A 22,947-nucleotide genomic window follows, 5' to 3' on the forward strand; every position below is an offset into this window, starting at 1 on the left:
TGAGGAATGGCCACACTGACTTCCACAATGGTTGAACTAGTTTACAGTCCCACCAATGGTGTAAAAGTGTTCCTATTTCTCTACATCCTCTCCAGCACCTGTTGTTTCCTGACTTTTTAATGATCGCCATTCTAACTGGTGTGAGATGGTAGCTCATTGTGGTTTTGATTTGCATTTCTCTGATGGCCAGTGATGGTGAGCATTTTTTCATGTGTTTTTTGGCTGCATAAATGTCTTCTTTTGAGAAGTGTCTGTTCGTGTCCTTCGCCCACTTTTTCATGGGATTGTTTGTTTTTTTCTTGTAAATTTGTTTGAGTTGATTGTAGATTCTGGATATTAGCCCTTTGTCAGATGAGTAGGTTGCAAAAATTTTCTCCCATTCTGTAGGTTGCCTATTCACTCTCATGGTGGTTTCTTTTGCTGTGCAGAAGCTCTTTAATTTAATTAGACCCCATTTGTCAATTTTGGCTTTTGTTGCCATTGCTTTCAGTGTTTTAGACATGAAGTCCTTGTCCATGCCTATGTCCTGAATGGTAATGCCTAGGTTTTCTTCTAGGGTTTTTATGGTTTTAGGTCAAACGTTTAAGTCTTTAATCCATATTGAATTGATTTTTGTATAAAGTGTAAGGAAGGGATCCAGTTTCAGCTTTCTACATATGGCTAGCCAGTTTTCCAAGCACCATTTATTAAATAGGGAATCGTTTCCCCATTGCTTGTTTTTCTCAGGTTTGTCAAAGATCAGATAGTTGTAAATATGCGGCGTTATTTCTGAGGGCTCTGTTCTGTTCCATTGATCTATATCTCTGTTTTGGTACCAGTACCATGCTGTTTTGGTTACTGTAGCCTTGTAGTATAGTTTGAAGTCAGGTAGTGTGATGCCTCCAGCTTTGTTCTTTTGGCTTAGGATTGACTTGGCGATGCGGGCTCTTTTTTGGTTCCATATGAACTTTAAAGTAGTTTTTTCCAATTCTGTGAAGAAAGTCATTGGTAGCTTGATGGGGATGGCATTGAATCTGTAAATTACCTTGGGCAGTATGGCCATTTTCATGATACTGATTCTTCCTACCCATGAGCATGGAATGTTCTTCCGTTTGTTTGTATCCTCTTTTATTTCCTTGAGCAGTGGTTTGTAGTTCTCCTTGAAGAGGTCCTTCACATCCCTTGTAAGTTGGATTCCTAGGTATTTTATTCTCTTTGAAGCAATTGTGAACGGGAGTTCACTCATGATTTGGCTCTCTGTTTGTCTGTTGTTGGTGTATAAGAATGCTTGTGATTTTTGTACATTGATTTTGCATCCTGAGACTTTGCTGAAGTTGCTTATCAGCTTAAGGAGATTTTGGGCTGAGACAATGGGGTTTTCTAGATATACAATCATGTCGTCTGCAAACAGGGACAATTTGACTTCCTCTTTTCCTAATTGAATACCGTTTATTTCCTTCTCCTGCCTAATTGCCCTGGCCAGAACTTCCAACACTATGTTGAATAGGAGTGGTGAGAGAGGGCATCCCTGTCTTGTGCCAGTTTTCAAAGGGAATGCTTCCAGTTTTTGCCCATTCAGTATGATATTGGCTGTGGGTTTGTCATAGATAGCTCTTATTATTTTGAAATACGTCCCATCAATACCTAATTTATTGAGAGTTTTTAGCATGAAGCGTTGTTGAATTTTGTCAAAGGCCTTTTCTGCATCTATTGAGATAATCATGTGGTTTTTGTCTTTGGTTCTGTTTATATGCTGGATTACATTTATTGATTTGCATATATTGAACCAGCCTTGCATCCCAGGGATGAAGTCCACTTGATCATGGTGGACAAGCTTTTTGATGTGTTGCTGGATTCAGTTTGCCAGTATTTTATTGAGGATTTTTGCATCAATGTTCATCAAGGATATTGGTCTAAAATTCTCTTTTTTGGTTGTGTTTCTGCCAGGCTTTGGTATCAGGATGATGCTGGCCTCATAAAATGAGTTAGGGAGGATTCCCGCTTTTTCTATTGATTGGAATAGTTTCAGAAGGAATGGTACCAGTTCCTCCTTGTACCTGTGGTAGAATTTGGCTGTGAATCCATCTGGTCCTGGATTCTTTTTGGTTGGTAAGCTATTGATTATTGCCACAATTTCAGATCCTGTTATTGGTCTATTCAGAGATTCAACTTCTTCCTAGTTTAGTCTTGGGAGAGTGTATGTGTCGAGGAATTTATGCATTTCTTCTAGATTTTCTAGTTTATTTGCGTAGAGGTGTTTGTAGTATTCTCTGATGGTAGTTTGTATTTCTGTGGGAATCAGTGGTGATATCCCCTTTATCATTTTTTATTGCATCTATTTGATTCTTCTCTCTTTTTTTCTTTAGTAGTCTTGCTAGCGGTCTATCAATTTTGTTGATCTTTTCAAAAAACCAGCTCCTGGATTCATTAATTTTTTGGAGGGTTTTTTGTGTCTCTGTTTCCTTCAGTTCTGCTCTGATTTTAGTTATTTCTTGCCTTCTGTTAGCTTTTGCATGTGTTTGCTCTTGCTTCTCTAGTTCTTTTAATTGTCATGTTAGGGTGTCAACTTTAGATCTTTCCTGCTTTCTCTTGTGGGCATTTAGTGCTATAAATTTCCCTCTACACACTGCTTTGAATGTGTCCCAGAGATTCTGGTATGTTGTGTCTTTGTTCTCGTTGGTTTCAAAGAACATCTTTATTTCTGCCTTCATTTCGTTATGTATCCAGTAGTCATTCAGGAGCAGGTTGTTCAGTTTCCATGTAGTTGAGCGGTTTTGAGTGAGATTCTTAATCCTGAGTTCTAGTTTGATTGCACTGTGGTCTGAGAGATAGTTTGTTATAATTTCTGTAAAACATTTGCTGAGGATAGCTTTACTTCCAAGTATGTGGTCAATTTTGGAATAGGTGTGGTGTGGTGCTGAAAAAAATGTATATTCTGTTGATTTGGGGTGGAGAGTTCTATAGATGTCTATTAGGTCCGCTTGGTGCAGAGCTGAGTTCAATTCCTGGGTATCCTTGTTGACTTTCTGTCTCATTGATCTGTCTAATGTTGACAGTGGCGTGTTAAAGTCTCCCATTATTATTGTGTGGGAGTCTAAGTCTCTTTGTAGGTCACTCAGGACTTGCTTTATGAATCTGGGTGCTCCTGTATTGGGTGCATATATATTTAGGATAGTTAGCTCTTCTTGTTGAATTGATCCCTTTACCATTATGTAATGGCCTTCTTTGTCTCTTCTGATCTTTGTTGGTTTAAAGTCTGTTTTATCAGAGACTGGGATTGCAACCCCTGCCTTTTTTTGTTTTCCATTTGCTTGGTAGATCTTCCTCCATCCTTTTATTTTGAGCCTATGTGTGTCTCTGCATGTGAGATGGGTTTCCTGAATACAGCACACTGATGGGTCTTGACTCTTTATCCAATTTGCCAGTCTGTGTCTTTTAATTGGAGCATTTAGTCCATTTACATTTAAAGTTAATATTGTTATGTGTGAATTTGATCCTGTCATTATGATGTTAGCTGGTGATTTTGCTCGTTAGTTGATGCAGTTTCTTCCTAGTCTCGATGGTCTGTACATTTTGGCATGATTTTGCAGCGGCTGATATCGGTTGTTCCTTTCCATGTTTAGCGCTTCTTTCAGGAGCTCTTTTAGGGCAGGCCTGGTGGTGACAAAATCTCTCAGCATTTGCTTGTCTGTAAAGTATTTTATTTCTCCTTCACTTATGAAGCTTAGTTTGGCTGGATATGAAATTCTGGGTTGAAAATTCTTTTCTTTAAGAATGTTGAATATTGGCCCCCACTCTCTTCTGGCTTGTAGAGTTTCTGCTGAGAGATCCACTGTTAGTCTGATGGGCTTCCCTTTTTGGGTAACCCAACCTTTCTCTCTGGCTGCCCTTAACATTTTTTCCTTCATTTCAACTTTGGTGAATCTGGCAATTATGTGTCTTGCAGTTGCTCTTCTCAAGGAGTATCTTTGTGGCGTTCTCTGTATTTCCTGAATCCGAATGTTGGCCTGCCTTGCTAGATTGGGGAAGTTCTCCTGGATAATATCCTGCAGAGTGTTTTCCAACTTGGTTCCATTCTCCCCATCACTTTCAGGTACACCAATCAGACATACATTTGGTCTTTTCACATAGTCCTATATTTCTTGGAGGCTTTGCTCGTTTCTTTTTATTCTTTTTTCTCTAAGCTTCCCTTCTCACTTCATTTCATTCACTTCATCTTCCATCACTGATACCCTTTCTTCCAGTTGATCGCATCGGCTCCTGAGGCTTCTGCATTCTTCACGTAGTTCTCGAACCTTGGTTTTCAGCTCCATCAGCTCCTTTAAGCACTTCTCTGTATTGGTTATTCTAGTTATACATTCTTCTAAACTTTTTTCAAAGTTTTCAACTTCTCTGCCTTTCGTTTGAATTTCCTCCCATAGCTCGGAGTAATTTGATCGTCTGAAGCCTTCTTCTCTCAGCTTGTCAAAGTCATTCTCCGTCCAGCTTTGTTCCATTGCTGGTGAGGAACTGCGTTTCTTTGGAGGAGGAGAGGTGCTCTGCTCTTTAAAGTTTCCAGTTTTTCTGCTCTGTTTTTTCCCCATCTTTGTGGTTCTATCTACTTTTGGTCTTTGATGATGGTGATGTACAGTTGGGTTTTTGGTGTGGATGTCCTTTCTGTTTGTTAGTTTTCCTTCTAACAGACAGGACCCTCAGCTGCAGGTCTGTTGGAGTACCCGGCCGTGTGAGGTGTCAGTCTGCCCCTGCTGGGGGATGCCTCCCAGTTAGGCTGCTCGGGGGTCAGGGGTCAGGGACCCACTTGAGGAGGCAGTCTGCTCATTCTCAGATCTCCAGCTGCATGCCGGGAGAACCACTGCTCTCTTCAAAGCTGTCAGACAGGGACATTTAAGTCTGCAGAGGTTACTGCTGTCTTTTTGTTTGTCTGTGCCCTGCCCCCAGAGGTGGAGCCTACAGAGGCAGGCAGGCCTCCTTGAGCTGTGGTGGGCTGCACCCAGTTCGAGCTTCCCAGCTGCTTTGTTCACCTAAGCAAGCCTGGGCAATGGCGGGCGCCCCTCCCCCAGCCTCGCTGCCACCTTGCAGTTTGATCTCAGACTGCTGTGCTAGCAATCAGCGAGACTCCGTGGGCATAGAACCCTCCGAGCCAGGTGCAGGATATAATCTCCTGGTGCTCCGTTTTTTAAGCCAGTCGGAAAAGTGCAGTATTCGGGTGGGAGTGACCCGATTTTCCAGGTGCCGTCTGTCACCCCTTTCTTTGACTAGGAAAGGGAACTCCCTGACCCCTTGCACTTCCCGAGTGAGGCAATGCCTCGTCCTGCTTCGGCTCACGCACCCGCTGACCTGTGCCCACTGTCTGGCACTCCCTAGCGAGATGAACCCGGTATCTCAGATGGAAATGCAGAAATCACCCGTCCTCTGCATGGCTCATGCTGGGAGCTGTAGACCGGAGCTGTTCCTATTCAGCCATCTTGGCTCCAACCCACCCCAGGAATATTTTCTTGAGTGAGTTTCTTAATCCTGAGTTCTAGTTTGATTGCACTGTGGTCTGAGAGACAGTTTGTTATAATTTCTGTACACCAATAACAGACAAACAGAGAGCCAAATCATGAGTGAACTCCCATTCACAATTGCTTCAAAGAGAATAAAATACCTAGGAATCCAACTTACAAGGGATATGAAGGACCTCTTCAAGGAGAACTAGAAACCACTGCTCAAGGAAATAAAAGAGGATACAAACAAATGGAAGAACATTCCATGCTCATGAATAGGAAGAATCAATATCGTGAAAATGGCCATACAGCCCAAGGTAATTTATTGATTCAATGCCATCCCCATCAAGCTACCAATGACTTTCCTCACAGAATTGGAAAAAACTACTTTAAAGTTCATATGGAACCAGAAAAGAGCCTGCATCACCAAGTCAATCCTAAGCCAAAAGAACAAAGCTGGAGGCGTCACGCTACCTGACTTCAAACTATACTATAAGGCTACATTAACCAAAACAGCATGGTAATGGTACCAAAACAGAGATATAGATCAATGGAACAGAACAGAGCCCTCAGAAATAATGCTGCATATCTACAACTATCTGATCTTTGACAAACCTGAGAAAAACAAGCAATGGGGAAACAATTCCCTATTTAATAAATGGTGCTTGGAAAACTGGCTAGCCATATGTAGAAAGCTGAAACTGGATCCCTTCCTTACACCTTATACAAAAATTAATTCAAGATGGATTAAAGACTTAAACGTTTGACCTAAAACCATAAAAACCCTAGAAGAAAACCTAGGCAATACCATTCAGGACATAGGTATGGACAAGGCCTTCATGTCTAAAACACTGAAAGCAATGGCAACAAAAGCCAAAATTGACAAATGGGATCTAATTAAATTAAAGAGCTTCTGCACAGCAAAAGAAACCACCATGAGAGTGAATAGGCAACCTACAGAATGGGAGAAAATTTTTGCAACCTACTCATCTGACAAAGGGCTAATATCCAGAATCTACAATCAACTCAAACAAATTTACAAGAAAAAAACAAACAACCCCATCAAAAAGTGAGTGAAGGATATGAACAGACACTTCTCAAAAGAAGACATTTATGCAGCCAAAAAACACATGAAAAAATGCTCACCATCACTGGCCATCAGAGAAATGCAAATCAAAACCACAATGAGCTACCATCTCACACCAGTTAGAATGGCGATCATTAAAAAGTCAGGAAACAACAGGTGCTGGAGAGGATGTGGAGAAATAGGAACACTTTTACACCATTGGTGGGACTGTAAACTAGTTCAACCATTGTGGAAGTCAGTGTGGCCATTCCTCAGGGATCTAGAACTAGAAATACCATTTGACCCAGCCATCCCATTACTGGGTATATACCCAAAGGATTATAAATCATGCTACTATAAAGACACATGCACACGTATGTTTATTGTGGCACTATTCACAATAGCAAAGACTTGGAACCAAGCCAAATGTCCAACAATGATAGACTGGATTAAGAAAATGTGGCACATAAATACCATGGGATACTATGTGGCCATAAAAAAGGATGAGTTCATGTCCTTTGAAGGGACATGGATGAAGCTGGAAACCATCATTGTCAGCAAACTATCGCAAGGACAAAAAACCAAACACCGCATGTTCTCACTCATGGGTGGTAATTGAACAATGAGAACACATGGACACAGGAAGGGGAACATTACACACTGGGGACTGTTGTGGGGTGGGGGGAGCGGGGAGGGATAGCATTAGGAGGTTTACCTAATGCTAAATGATGAGTTAATGGGTGCAGCACACCAACATGGCACATGTATACATATGTAACAAACCTGCACATTGTGCACATGCATCCTAAAACTTAAAGTATAATGATAATAATTTAAAAATTATAAGTCAAGTACTAAATAAGTCCCCAGGTGGCCTAAGTAAGGCATTCCCTGGCATCCATAGTATTCAACCTGCAGCCAGGGATGGAGTTCTGTGGAGTTGAGGAATCTAAATCAATAATCTTAGAATGAAAAGGGCATCACTGTCAATTGACTTGGGCTTTCTCCAGTCTTTTAGTATTCAGCAAAACATTGTTTATTTAACTTGATTAGAAAGGTCAGCCCAAATCTACGAGGAGGGACCAAGACAAATGAACAAGTTCTTGATAATGGAAGTGATTTATTGGTTTCCAGTATGGACTCCAATTCAAGTTCTCAGTAATAGCAGATTGGGTTTCTGTTCCTCCTACTGAAACTGACAAGAAAGAGTGAAATTGGTAGGTTAATTCCACAAACACCAGAAAATTCTTATAAACAACTTAGGTAATAATTAGCTCAAACATTCTTCCTTCAATATTTACATCTGCAGGTCTCAACAGGACACACCGATATGTTGCAAGCAACTTCATACCAATCATAGTAGAAGTATCAAAGTTCGCAAGTGATTCACTTTTAACAATAAATCCGAGAACATTTAAGGTTATCACAATAATATCACAGTCACACGTTTGCATTTCCATGTGCTTCTTAAGAGAAAAGGCAGGGGTGGGTTACAGAGATGGAGTCAGGAAATGCACATGGGTCTGTGTTGCTCATGCCAACACTGTTCTTGTATTGTCACAGAAAAAAAAAAAACAGAGAAGGAGAGAACTGCCTTACATCATCAATTTTCTTAAAACCTTTTATCATATGAAGGTAAAACTAAACCTTGCTCGCTCAACTTCCTAATTTTAGGCAATGATTGGAATTCAGTTTAACTTACTGTCTAACCCTCATATAGCAAGGAATGTGGACCTTGAAGACTTATTCACCGCTAAGGTTTTATGAGTATTGTGGTGAAATGAGGCATGGCATGGAAGAATAGTATAATCTGGACAAACTGTGGCATTCCTGGTAAACCCCAAAGGGTGGCACCACCTTGGTGAGGTCACCTCAGGCCAGTCTTGCAGACTGAGAAACTCACCATTGCTAGGGCTCTGACTCTTTTCAGACTGAGACAACTGACTTGAGCTGCTGTCGAAACTTTCAAGAAGTTGCTGTATAATGTTATTCACTTACAGATGTTATTCACTTAAAATGGAGGATACTTCTTTCCAATTACTAAAGCTGCTTCTTTCCTGATCTCATAATACCCGGAGAATTGAATTTATGATTGTAAGTTTGGGTGGGAAACACGGAGTCAGAGAAAAAAGTGGAGAATGATCTTAAGAATATCGTCCAGGCCATGATGAGGTATGTAGAATTATCCTTGACCCACAAGAGACTTCTTCAGTTACCAGACTGAGTGAGTTCCCAGAAGCTGAGCACACTCTCCTCTGAAAAGTGCTGGACAAACTTTGCCAATTTCTTACTCTTAGGGTCTCCTTTTTTTGTGCTCTGAGCTTCCTGAGTCCCTTCCATTCAAACAATTGGTTCAGTTTCAGGAAATTACTGTAACAGTTAGGGTTCTGTGGTTATGTATAATAGAAAGTGACTTCAGCTAACTTGAGCACAAAAGTGGAATTTATTGGAAGAAGCTGAGAACTATTACAAAATTGAATGAAAAGCTGAAGTCCCAGATCTTTAAAAGAATCCATGGAGCTGCTCTGAGGATGCTTGCTACTTGGTAGGGGGAAGCAGACACTTAAATAAAAAGAAGTGCCAGGTAGGTGAGTGCAGTGGCTCACGCCTATAATCCCAACACTCCCGGAGGCTGCTGTGGGAGAGTCAGTTGAGACCAGGAGTTTGAGACAAGCGTGGGCAACGTATTGAAACCTCATCTCTAGAAAATTTTTAAAAATTAGCTAGGTGTGGTGGTGGAGCTATGATTGTACCACTGGACTCCAGCACTCTAGCCTGGGTGACAGAACAAGATCTCATCTCTTAAAAAAAAAAAAAAAGCAATTAAATGTGGCAGTATCACTATAGAAATATGCTAAAAATAAAAGGAATTACAAAGGAGGGATTGGTCAATTGTCCCTGGTAAGGGGTAGGGATAAGTTTCAAGGTAAAGAAAGGCTTCATAGTGGAGGTAATATTTGAGTCAACTCTTAAAAGTAGATTACTTTTAAGTAATCTTATTAGTAGAGTTGATGTTTGCTTGATGGCCAAAGAAAGAAAAGGTATTCAAGGCGCAAAGACACAGAGTTGTGAAAGAGTATGGCATATTCAAAAACATGAATGTCATTCCATATACCTTCAGCGTGGCTTGGTGATGTGGAGTTTCATGAGAAAAATGAGACTGGAGAGGGAGCAGAAGACTGACTGATCACAAAGAACCATGTAGCAATAAACTGTGGTCGTAGAAGAGCAGTATCAGATCCAAAAAATAAGTTTTATGTATAAAACTTCTACAAACAAGAAACTTAAAAAAAAAAAGGACTCATAGAGATTATTTTTCCCTTCTTCCTTCTTCCTTCTTCCTTCCTTCCTTCTTCTTCTTCACTCTGACAACTGATTCCCTCCCCACCAACCTTCCTGTTCCCCATACACACAAATCTACAATCATCCATGATATTTCATGCCCACAGTTGTTTTTAAAATCTTAGAATAAGGCCATCCGTACAAAGTAATCTCATCAAGACTGATCAGACTTCATCTCCTTGAGAACAATTCTCTGAAAATCTTACCCTGGTAGCAGAAGATTGTGACAGTAATAATTTGAGCAATTTCCAGTAGCTAATTTCCCTTGGTAAGAAAAAATATTAAACCTGCTTCTCTAATCCATACTTGGCCTCCAGATGTGTTCAAACTAGTTCTTCCAGCTGGAGCTACAGAGGGTAATTCATAGAGCCAAAACTAAGTCTCAGACTATTCTGGACTCTTTTTCCATCATCCTCATGGATATGGTAATGTAACATGTGGCACATCCAGACATAAATAAAACTTGGGAAGGAAGAATTCTGAAGGATTTTGTCCATTCTGGGCACAAGAATCTTGACCATAATAGTGAGTGTGCATTCAGCTCAGGTACCTATGAAATTTTAGAGTCTTTTAATTTTGGAATTTATGAAGACAACCAATGGATTTGTTGAGAACAACTAAGTCTTCTTTCCGAAATGAGAGTTTAATACTTACATATTTTCTCATATACAGTTAAATGTAGTAAAGGGTGTTTTGTATTTAATATATTATTTATTGTGTATTCCGCAGTCTTTGTCCTTTCCTTACTAAGGAACTAGAGAAAGCCCCTAATTAGTATGGCCTAAGAACTGTTCTTGTTCTTGTAGGTTTTAGAAATCCTCTTGTCCCAGCTCTCTGTGCTAGTATTCCACTTCTCTTTTTGAGGCCTTCACTTCTTTTTATTTTTTCTCTTTTATAAAAAGAGACAGGGTCTTGCTGTATTGCCCAGGCTGGTCTCGAACTCTTGGCCTGAAGGGATCCTCCTGCCTCAGCCTCCCAAAGTGTGGGGATTACAGGGATGAGCCACTGTGCCCAGCCCAGGACTTTAGTTCCAATGGCAGGTTTATAGGTTTTGTTTATGGGTTCTTCAAAGTGCAGTCTTTAAGTTTTTGCTGGTTGCTTTCTACAGAAGGCTTTGCTTTCTTTCAAAATGCTCTGCAAAATGCCAGCTGCCTGCTTTATTGATTGGCAGGAATGGTTACATGTTGCAGCAGCTTTCTTTCTATCTGTCTCTCTAACCTGAATGTTCTGGGGTCACATTGTGTCTGTACCAGTTGTGTTCTCTGATATAGAAAATAGGGAGTAGGAGGACTGACTGTCTTTCAACACCGTTGATGTCCCTATTTCCCTTTTTCACATTGCCTCCCTTCCCCCAATAAATAGCAGCTCATAACATTTTGCCCAATAGGATATAACATTAATATCTCTGCTAATAGAGAAAATAAATAAAACCAAACACTACTTTTAATTTTGTACATGATTATAATTAAAATCTCTAATAAGGACGGGATTTTTAAGAAGACCCTATGATTGTTTGTAAATTTTGATTCTCCACACTATTTCAGATCCTTATTACCATAGTGCTTTTCAACTGTGGCAGATGGCATTTTCCAAGCATGGCTGCAACAATATCTCCCATCCCACATGTTCTTCTGTAATGTGGCACTGCTACCTTCCATCAAGAGGTGGCTATTTCTCCACCCCCTTGAACCTGGAAGGCCCCATGCTTTCTTTGACAACAGAATACAATGGAAGTTGTGGTGTACAGGTTCTGTGCATAGCCATGAATTGGCCTGGCAGTTTCAATTCCTGTCTCTTAGAAGACAGCTGCTGTGTAAGAAATGTGACTACCCAGAGATCACCATGCTGTGAGAATCACAAACCACACTAAAAGGCCCTGGAGGATGAGATGCCACATGGAGACAGAAAGAATCCAAGGATACCTGAAGTGCTGGACAAGGGAATGAAGAGGCCATCTTGGACATCCAGCCCAACAAAGCCTTCAGATGGCATCATGACTGTTACTGCATGAAAGACCCCAAGCAGGAACTTCCTGGCTAGGCCTAGTCAACCAACAGGACCAAGAGAGATAATAAAGTGTTGCTTTTAGCCGCTAAGTTCTGGGGTGGTGTGTTAAGCAGCAGTTAATGGCTGGAACGCAACCAATGTTGTCTACAGTGGAGTCTAAGGGGAATCTTCTTCCCAAAGTTTAAATGGAGTAGCTCTGTTTTTAATCTATTTCACATTTTGGGGTTCTTCATAAGAAATTATTTATAAAAAAGTAGCTCCATGTCTCAAAAAGTTTGACTATCACTCCATAGATAATTGAGAGTTGGCTAAATAAATATGGGCCACCCTTGCAGACCATAAAAAGCATATTGTGACAGCAAATATTTCCTGACTAGATTGCTTCAGACAAATATATTTAGGCCATTCTGAGTGGATGTGTATTTTTATGTGATTTCTAAAGCCCTATCAAAGGATTCCAATTCCGGTTTCTAACACTCCTCACCATTAGGAAATCCTTTTTCAGAGACTCATAGACTCTCGACTATGCTCTACTCCAACCCCTGCCCTTGTTTGAGTTAAAAAAAAAAAAAAAAAAAAAAAAAAAAAGAAACTCATGGCATCTCTCTTAGTGATCTGGACTGTAGCTCTTGGAAGAGAGCAAAAACTACTTTCTTTGGTGTCAATGTCTTGTGTTAGGCATAAGATGATGAGAAAATGTGTCTTAATATTATTTTAATTGGAAATAATTTCTTGTAAAATTGTACACCTATGGCCCTGAGCTTTGCCTAAAGCATTTGAAGTGCCCTTGCCAATCAACACCATTTTTACTTCAACACTTAACAATGCTATTTGTAGAAAGATTTCCTTAAAGGCTTTCAGCGTGCTCAGCTAAGAGCGGTGTTTTTAGTCTTGCTACACTAGTGTACTGGTTCCTTTTATCATTCAGACCATCTGTGATGAAGTCTATTTTGTTAACTCAGAAAACCTCAATTTCTGTGAGACTTTAAAATGAGGCATTAACATATTTTTATGGATTGTGCTACCATTATGGTTTTGGAGACTTCTCATCTCTGTTATTAAAAAGAAAAATCCTGCCATCTAAGCTTCTCATAAGAAACTATTTTTACATTCATAATCTTTAAAGATGCTTATGGAAAGAAGTGCTTTGAACTCTTTCAGTAAGATTTTAGTTCAGCCTAAAGCTTAACAATAATGTAATTTGAGTGAGGGTGGCTGATCCCCACCTGTCAGTGATGCTTCAGGAAGATACATAAATCACAGCCAGCATCTCAACTGAAACCAGTTTAAAAATTCATGCGGCTAACAGTCATTCCTGTGTGATCTGGTTTCTTAATACCTTATTACACCCTGCATACTGGGATTTTAGGCCTGGAATGTACCTTTAAAATTATCTTATTACACCCCTTTCTTCTATAGATGAGTAAACTGAGGTCACAGATTGTGACTGGAAAGCATACTTTCTTTCCACTATCCCTTTGCTGGTCAAAGTGTGCTTGGACCGGTAGCACCACCTAGGAGCTTGTGAGAAATGCAGGGTCTTGGGCATCCCACCAGACCAATTGCATCAGAATCTCCATTTTTATAAGGTCTCTACATGATTCCTATAAGTACATTCATGTCTGAGAAACCCTGCTTGATACCACATCTGTTTCCCAAAAGCAGTGCAAGGCTCTGTAATCCAATCAATCCAGATTCAAAATCCAGATTTTCCACTTTCCAACTAAGTGAACAAATTACACAACCTCTCTGGTCCTGCTTCCTCGGTAGTTAAATGTGGGTATTAATACCTACTCTGAAAGGTCATCATGGGTTTAAATGAAACAGTCTTTATATAGTTCCTATTCAAGTGTCTGAGGATAGACTGCTCAATAAATGGAAACTGCTGCTATTGCTGCTACTATGGCTACAACTATCGCTGCTTTGCTACTATTGCTGCTGCTGCTGCTGCTCCTGCTGCTATTACTACTTCTACTGCTACTACTGCTATTGCTACTAGTACTACTGCTGCTACTACCACGGCTCTTTGTATCATTGCTGCTACCACTGCTGCTTCTGCTTCTATCACTAATTCTACTGCTATTACTGCTAATAGCTGCTGCTGCCACCACCATGGTTATTAATATCTCAAAAAGGGAAAGTAACCTTTCAGACATTGACAAGTGTCCAAAGTGAAACTGAAGCCCAGGTACACTTCCTAATTTCCCGTCTGCTTTAAGTATAGCTAAATACTAGAGCCAACATTCTTGTTTAAGGCCTTTTCAATCCTTGGAGTAAAATGTAGAAAAAGGAGACAGCTTTTTAAAGATTTCTATTTAAACCTCCTGGAACAGTAAAGTCAATTTGCTCAATTCTGTGTCTTCTCAAACCATTATAGCTTCAGTGGGTCTGAGTTTCTTCTAGGTGGCAGCTTCTGTTTCCTTTAACTATGGAATACTGCCTTTCTCTAATTTTGCTTCTGGCTTCCAAAATATTTTCCACAGAAAGTTTTACTGGATCTGATAGTACATTTGTTTTCTTAGAAAACAGGATATATGTTAAACTCTGAGGTGACCTACTAATTTCAGTCTTTGTCCTTTCAGCACTCAGCCCTATGCTTAGATGTACTCACTTTTCCTTGCTTACGTGACCCCATTTTGAATAATTGTAAAGGGGGAAACACCCTCATTACATACAAATAGAATTTTGCCATTTTGCAAACTGAGATAGATGTTGATTTTCTTTGAGGTCCCAGAATGACTTCTAATCCTTGTTCTTAGAACTGAACATATGTGACTCAATTTGAAAACAATGGCTAAAATGTTAACCTCTTAGCTCCAGCTAGACTGGATTCCAAAAAGTTATAGATCCTCTGGGTAGTGGAATAGCATATTTGTTTGGAATGCACCCAAATATCCTAACAAGATTTGTGAAAGCATTTTGCAACCATTGACACCTAACCACAAAATGTCTTCACATACTCAACTAGTGACGTGTAAACAGAAGAACAGGATTGTGTAGCAGAGCCAGTTTCAGGCAGCCCCACAACAGAAGATAATGCATTTCCACACTTTGTAAGAAATGGCATGGCCTAATATGAATGGATACCATGAAAATTGTGCATCTGAGCACATGAGTGGGCTCTTCAGTACCAGTGGAAATCTAGGATGAAATGGAAAGCCCTTGAACAAGCCATGCTAGAAATGATACAACCCAACCTGTTACGGAGGTGAAAAAGTGCTGGGCTTTCCATCCCTCGGAGGCTGAGACTGCTTGGCTACTGCTAGGAGAGTACAGCGATGGGTATCTCAGCATGGGGTGGCATCTTGTGCTTGCTCAGTTTAGCAAGCACTGTGCCTTGTGCTTGTAATGAACACTTAAGCATTTGAAGGATCTAAATGAATCAGAAGATCTAGTATATATTTCTCAAAGCCCTCCCCCTTGCTCACTTACAAATTGGCTAAATTCACAAACAAGCTGCTTTATCAATTCAAGGAGCCTTGCATGACTCCAAGTGAGTTACAAGTCTTAGATGTAAATAAGAAGTTTAACATTTTCTGAGTGGGAATATAGATATAGAAATATACTGTGCTGTCCTGAATTCCAAAGGTGGCATTTCCCACTATCAAAAAAGGTTTAAATTATTTAAAAAATAATTTTAAATTATTTATGTATTTACTTATTTATTTTTAAGCACTTACATGATACTAACCAAACACTATTTTAAGCACTTTACAAATATAAATTCACTTAATACTCACAGTCATCTTCACTAGGAAGGTATTACTCTTGTCATCATTCTATAGAGGGGAAATAAAGTCATAGACAGTTTAAGTAACTTGCCCAAAATTACACAGCTAATAAATGCCAGGATTGGAACTCAAGCAGTTTGGCTCTAAAGTCTATGCTATCACTTACTATGCTACATTATGAGGTTATTATTTTGGAATTTTCTTTATACTTAACTAGTAGATAAAATTTTTAGCTTGCAATACTAATGAAACCGTGATGGTGAATTCAACAGTTGAATGTGCTAATTATTGGAGCTCTGCATATATAATATATAAGCTATAGGCTATATTTTTAATATCAAAGTCTTTATTCGCTAACTTTTTCAGTTTACAAGATTATGATAGCTTTTCCTTTTAGGATCATGTGTTATTATAAACTAAAAATATAAAAAGCAAGCTAAGCACTATTTTAAAAAACATCCTAAAGGTACAATGCAAGGGACCAGTTACAAATGCCCAGAACCTGCTAGAGATTTGTAAGAAATCATTTAAAAGAGACTGGAAATACATTATTTGCCTGTTGAACACCTCAGTTCTTCCTTTCCATGCTGCTATTTGCATGAAAATTTGCTGCTTAGGTCAGGGCTTATGATAGGTTAGAAAAGTTTCCAATAGCCGAACACAAACCCAGGAATCAAAGTCCCCCAAATATACACAAAGGAAAAAACACACACACAACCTACCTAATCTGTAGCTAGAGTGCTTCTGGGCCATGGAACCACCCCATTGTGCCTTGGCCACTCCAGCTCAGAAACCAGAGTGTTGCCATGGTGGCAGGGACCCAACCGTGAGGGCTGGTTTCAATACCCAGCAGCTGTTCACTTCAGAAAAAGCAGGATGGCAGCCCACTTCTGAATGCGCATTTTTCTCTAGGCTTTGACCTGACCTGAATATTGTTTCTCATTGAATTTCCTTTTATTTATTTCTTTTTAGATATCAACTTTCCTTGAACTTTTCCTGTCATTTGTGTTGCAGTTGGCAGAACTACAGAACTTCTCCCTTCTGCAAAAAATGTGTTTTTTTTCTTTAACCATTTCTAAGTTTTTCCCTGTGTTGTCTTTATCTCCCCCACTTCTATATTTTACACACACACCTGTGCCTCATTATATGACGACCCAGGACAAATTCATCAGGTTTGTTTATTCCAAGAAGTGTGAAGGCCTCAGGTAGCCCCCTAAAAAATCCCTCCATGACTCACCTGACAGCAGAAATTTGTCCTATGAAACTTTGGAGCTGGATTAGAAAATATGACCCTTTACTCTCTTCATTCTGGCCATGGTCATAGAATCTGTGTTTAATCCTAAACACATTCTCAATTCACACTTGATTCATAACCTGCTTTTTTCTTCTCTTTGTTTACATGTTGGCAAAACATAAGGAATGTAAAAATATAAAAACTATTATGAATTATGAGCCCTGCTCACAAGGATTGTAGAAAAACTGTTCTTGATGCAAAAAGGAGCTGCACTATATTTAAGGTGAATTTATCCCTCTCCAGCTCTAAAGGAGTTTGGAATAATTTATAAATGAGGTTGTACTGCTGTTGAATATTTTTTTTAACTAGAAACAGTTTGTTTACAAGTTGTTACTAAAGACTGTCAGAAAAAAATGCTTGTGGACATGGTATCCAAAAGGCTGACAGAACCCAGAACTTGCTTGGTATTCATTTGAGAGCTCATCCAACATTATCCTGCACAGTGTATAATTACTTGCATGTTGGGAGCCAAAAAAGGGAATGTAACCCTGTGAGTGTGTGTTTATACTGAAAAGTTGGAGAAGCAAAACAATTCAGCAGCATTCTTCATCCCAACATCTGGGAATAATTAATTTGCTAGCTATGATGTATAACATGAAGTTGATAAAGTTGCCTGAAGCTCTGCATTTAGACCATTTGCCTTATTTAAAGCTTTCTGCTTTAGGGTTTAACACTGTGGCTAATTTTAGTAAATCTTTTTCTTTTTATTCCTGAAATGCTGTGATGAGGAGGAACCTTCTGCTTATAGTTTCTTGATCATTTTCTTTTTGCTCTTATTGTCAAAGTGTTCAGGAAGCTGACACTCACAAACTTTGCCTCCTTCTTCCTCTGCAGTGCAATGCTGCAAGAAAAAGTTCTAGAAACTGAGGCCCTGGAAAATGTCATTGGGTTTTTACATCTCTCTCTCTTCTCTCTTCTCTCTCTCTCTCTCTCTCTCTCTGTCTCTCTTTCTCTCTTTCTCTCTTCTCTCTCTCTCTCTCTCTCTCTCTCTCCTAAACACATATTTGAGCTCTGAAGAGTTTCTCTGGAATAGAGAATGTGTTTTTGTTCCATTTTACAAATCTTAGGCTAGGATACTGGAGACTGTCATGTGAGACTCTCAGTATATTACATATGGAAGGTATTGTGACAAGTTCTGATGGTTTATGTTAGGTGCTACATTCCCTTGATTGTGACTTTTAGAAAGAAAGCACAATATAAATACAATGTCATCTTATTGAATCTAACAGTTCAAGGTGGTACAGGGGGCTTTTCAGTCCCAGGGCTGTCTCCTCCAGTTTCTCACTGAGGCATGCTAGAGTGAAACACAGTTGTTACTCTGACCTTAGTTTGTTTAATTTGGGATTTCAGAATAAGAGCAAGTATCTTATTTTTATTGGCTGAGTGCTCCCAGCTTTGAACAGTGCTAAAAGTTTTCTATAGCACTTTTGAAAGCTCATATTTCACAACATCCAGCTATTTTCTTTGGAATCCTGGTGAGAAACAAACTGAGGAACTCCCAATATAGTCAGGCTGAGACTATCTCATTCCCCTCTGTCTTTTCTTAAGACTTATCTCCACACTTTGACAACTGTTTCACATCACTTGTGCCCTGTATTTTGGGATTCTTTGGACTAAATTATATGTTGTTGTCCTTCATGGTGAAAAATGATAACTTCTAGAAAAATGATAATTTTCTATTTATATAGATAGGGGTTGTACTCACAAAGAGTAATGGCCTGAGGGCTTGTCCTCAGCCCAGCACACGCTCACTGGCCCGAGGGAGAAGATGCTTGGGCAGGGTTGCTGCTTTTGCTCATCTGCCTCTACACTCACAGTCTCTGCATGTTGTGACAGCTTCCTGCTTCCTCCTTCAGAGCTTAGAAGCAGGGACTGGACCTTCTTATCAGTGTCTAAGTAGTCATGCCATAGCTTCCAGATGCCTGTGCATGGGCCAGTGACTGGGTTGACACTGGTTGGTTATGAGGTTTCCATGACCTGTTTTCTGATACAAAAGAAAGAAAGAAAGAAAGAAAGAGAGAGAGAGAGAGAGAGAGAGAGAGAGAGAGAGAGAGAGAGAGAGAGAGAGAGAAAGAAAGAAAGAAAGAAAGAAAGAAAGAAAGAAAGAAAGAAAGAAAGAAAGAAAGAAAGCAAGCTCCCTGAATACAGGGACCTTCCCTGTCATGTTTACCACCTAGAAAAATTTCTGGTGCCTATCACTTAATAAATATTTGGCTAATGAATGAAAAAACAGATAAGTGGAAGAGTAAGGTGAGTTTTTCCTGATACTGAATGTATTCATTTTCAGAATATAAACTTCTGATACTGTGTCCTTCCTACCTTTTTGCTTTTACAATTTATTTATTTTTGTTAACAAAATGATATAAGTCTAAAGAGTTACTAGGAAGATTTTGGGCAAAAAGGAAGTATTAAGCAACCTGATGTCAGTTTCCAAAATTCTTGCACTGGCCTATAAAATTCAAAATTTGGAAATCACTGCCCCATGCATGCTTTTTCTTGCTATTGCCTTGTCTTTCACAATGTACGTTTTCTTCATAACATTTGCCTATGAAGGGGAAATAAAAGGTTAATGCCTATGAACCAAAATGAAAAACATAATTCTAAATCCATATCACTAACATTGAGCATCCACTTTGTGCCAGGCCCTGAGGTATGCACATTCACACGCTGTCCCACAAAAGTCCTGAGAGGCATGTGTTATTACTTCCCTTTTACAGATGAAGTGACAAGTGAGCCAGATTTTGGATGATCCAAGGAAGTTATGGGTGGCGGAGGAGATCCAGGAGAGGTTAATGGAAGATGTGGGACTGAATTGAGTCTTGCTAGTCAAAGATAATTTGGCTGAAGAAGAGGATGGCATTCTGGCAAGAATAAAGATGAGGAGAAGGAATGCGCACCACATAATTTGGAACAGAGTCCAGACTGACCTGAATGGAAAGCAAGCTGCAGATAGGAAGACTGTGTGCACATAGATAATTGGACAAGATCCTCATTTTGCAGGTATTTGGTTGGTGTCTTAGTCCGTTCAGGCTGCTATAAGAGAATACTATTGATTGGGTGGCTTATAAACAATGAAATTGTATTTTTCACAGCTCTGGAGGCTAGGAAGCCCAAGATCAAGGCACCACCAGATTCAGTGTCTGGTTCATAGACAGCTTTGTTGTGTTCTTACATAGCAGAAGGTGGTGAGGGTGCTCTCTGGAGCCTCTGTTATAAGAGCGCTAATCTCATTTATGACAGCTCCAGTGTCATGACCTAATAACCTCCCAAAGGCCTTATCTCTAAATGCCATCACACTGGGCATTAGGATTTAACATATGAATTTTGAGGGGACAAAAACATTTAGTCTATTTGTCTAAAACTTGCTGACAATTTGGCTTCCCATTCAACGAGTCAGTGTCCTTAAAGACATATTTGTCTCTTTGAATTTGTTTACTTGACTGTTTTGGGCTCCAGTGATGCTGCCTGGGAATATTCAGAAGCTGGGTGATTGTGCTCTTAACTGCCAAGCATGTTTTCCTATAAGGAAGATTCTCTTCAGACCTTAGTACACAATCTGAGGGTCTTTAAGCATAATCAGTCAATAGCTCTGTTGCTGAGTGTGCAATGTGTTCTTAGTTTTCTACAAGAGCTCAGAACTTTCCCAAAGGAGCAGAAGCCTAGCCTATTACAAGTTTCAACCCCACTAATGCATGCATAAGCTTAATATAAATATTGTATGAGGCCGGGTGCAGTGGCTCACCCCTGTAATCCCAGCACTAGTACTTTGGGAGGCCAAGGCGGGCAAATCACCTGAGGTCAGGAGATCAAGACGAGACTGGCCAACATGGCAAAACCCTGTCTCTACTAAAAATACAAAAATTAGATGGACATGGCTGCAGGCACCTGTAATCTAACTATTCAGGAGGCTGAGGCACAAGAATCGCTTGAACCCAGGAGGCGGAGGTTGCAGTGAGCTGAGATTGTGCCATTGCACTCCAGCCTGGGCGACAGAGCCAGACTCCATCTCAATAAATAAATAAATAAATATTGTGTGACACTAATCTTACTAGAAAGTCCTATTTTTTTCAATGGTGATAGCCTATGCATTTAAGGATATGCTCACCATATTAACTCTATGTCATCTCACTCATTGAAGAATGAAAAGTTGGTAAACTTGGCAAGATATGTATTTGTAAAGCACCTAGCTCAAAGCCACGTGGTAGGTGTTGAAGCTACAATAGATTCCTATTATTCATGGATTTCATATTTAGGGATTTGCCTACACACTAAAAGTTATTTGTGGGCCAGGCGTGGTGGCTCACGCCTGTAATCCCAGCACTGTGGGAGGCCGAGTAGGGGGTGGATCACGAGGTCAGGAGATCGAGACCATCCAGGCTAAGAAGGTGAAACCCCATCTCTACTAAAAACACACAAAAAATATTAGCTGGGCATGGTGGTGGGCACCTGTAGTCCTAGCTGCTCAGGAGGCTGAGGCAGGAGAATGGTGTGAACCCGGGAGGCGAAGGTTGCAGTGAGCGGAGATCGTGCGCCACTGCACTCCAGCCTGGATGACAGAGCGAGACTCTGTCTCAGAAAAAAAAAAAAAGTTATTTGTAACCCCAAAATGAACACTCATGGTGCTTTCATTGTCATTCATGGACATGCACAGAGCAGTGAAAAATTTTAGTCATCTGACATACACATCCCCAGCTGAGGTTAAACAAGGTGATGCTGTGCATTCTTGTTCCAGCTCTCATACTGTAAACAAGTGTCCTTTTTGCAGTCTATTTAATGCCATGTTTTTCACATTTGTGTTTTTCTTGATAGTTTTGATTCTTTTTTTTTGAAATGGACTCTTGCTCTGTTTCCCAGACTGGAGTGCAGTGGCACAGTCTTGGCTCACTACAACCTCTGCCTCCCAGGTTCAAGTGATTCTCCTGCCTCAGCCTCCCGAGTAGCTGAGATTACAAGTGTGTGCCACCACGCCTGGCTAATTTTTGTATTTTCAGTAGAGATGGGGTTTCACCATGTTGGCCAGGCTGGTTTCGAACTCCTGACCTCAAGTGATCCACCCACCTCGGCCTCCCGAAGTGCTGGGATTACAGGCGTAAGCCACTGAGCCCAGCCGATTTTGCTTTTTAAGATGGACCCCAAGTGTAGTGCTAAAGTGCTATCTAGTGTTCCTAAGCACAAAAATCACCTTACAGAGAAAATATGTGTTAGATAAGCTTTGTTCAGGCATGAGTTACAGTGTTGTTGGCCATGAGTTCAATGTTAATCAACAATATATATTAAAGTAAACAAGGCATCTTTAAACAGAAACACACATAAAACATAATTATGTATTGATTGGTTAACAAAAATGTGACAAGAGGCTTGCAGGAATCTACTCCTCTATATTCCCTAGGGGTGTTGGCTCACTATTTGCTAATCAGTGTTGTCAGTGACTTTATAGAACATAACTATTATGAATAGTAAGAATCTACTGCATTTATTATTATAGTAGTTCAAGAAAGCCAAACTGTGTGATTGCTCCCTAAGCCTAATCTAGAAAGCGTGTTGATGATATTGTAAGGTTATGGCCAGGTGTGGTGGCTCATGCCTATAATCCTAGCACTTTGGGAGGCTGAGGTGGGCAGATCACTTGAGGTCAGGAGTTCGAGACCAGCCTGGCCCACATGGTGAAACCCCGTCTCTACTGAAAATATAAAAATTAGCCAGGCATGGTGGCAGGCACCTGTATTCCCAGCTACTCAGGTGGCTGAGGCAGGAGAATCACTTGAACCTGGGAGGCAGAGGTTGCAGTGAGCCAAGATTGTGCCACTGCACTCCAGCCTGGGTGACAGAGCAAGACTCCATCTCAAAAAAAAAAAAAAAAATTATATCAGGTCCTACCGTCTTTCTTCTGCTTCTGCCTTACCTGTTTCTCAAAGTAATGTCTCTTCACAGTTCCCATTCAATGTAATATTTCTTCAGTTCTTGAGCTAATCTTGACTAGGGCAGAAAGTTAATAATTCCTTGGGCCTACCGTTCGTTAAGCTTGTCATGAAGTCAGAACCT

At 40.1% G+C, this 22,947-nt stretch overlaps 4 annotated features.

Annotated features, from left to right (window-relative positions):
* Nucleotides 699-1,200: an enhancer, noted in NCBI's record as "NANOG hESC enhancer chr2:62874108-62874609 (GRCh37/hg19 assembly coordinates)". NCBI's record gives its function as "activates a minimal SCP1, AML or CMV promoter by ChIP-STARR-seq in primed H9 embryonic stem cells {active_cell/tissue: H9 hESC(primed)}" and the evidence as "EXISTENCE:reporter gene assay evidence [ECO:0000049][PMID:30033119]".
* Nucleotides 13,769-13,868: an enhancer, noted in NCBI's record as "active region_15867". NCBI's record gives its function as "activates an Ori minimal core promoter by ATAC-STARR-seq in GM12878 lymphoblastoid cells {active_cell/tissue: GM12878}" and the evidence as "EXISTENCE:reporter gene assay evidence [ECO:0000049][PMID:35858748]".
* Nucleotides 13,919-14,028: an enhancer, noted in NCBI's record as "active region_15868". NCBI's record gives its function as "activates an Ori minimal core promoter by ATAC-STARR-seq in GM12878 lymphoblastoid cells {active_cell/tissue: GM12878}" and the evidence as "EXISTENCE:reporter gene assay evidence [ECO:0000049][PMID:35858748]".
* Nucleotides 16,309-16,358: an enhancer, noted in NCBI's record as "active region_15869". NCBI's record gives its function as "activates an Ori minimal core promoter by ATAC-STARR-seq in GM12878 lymphoblastoid cells {active_cell/tissue: GM12878}" and the evidence as "EXISTENCE:reporter gene assay evidence [ECO:0000049][PMID:35858748]".

Source organism: Homo sapiens, chromosome 2 (assembly GCF_000001405.40).
Source record: "Homo sapiens chromosome 2, GRCh38.p14 Primary Assembly".
NCBI lineage: Eukaryota > Metazoa > Chordata > Mammalia > Primates > Hominidae > Homo > Homo sapiens.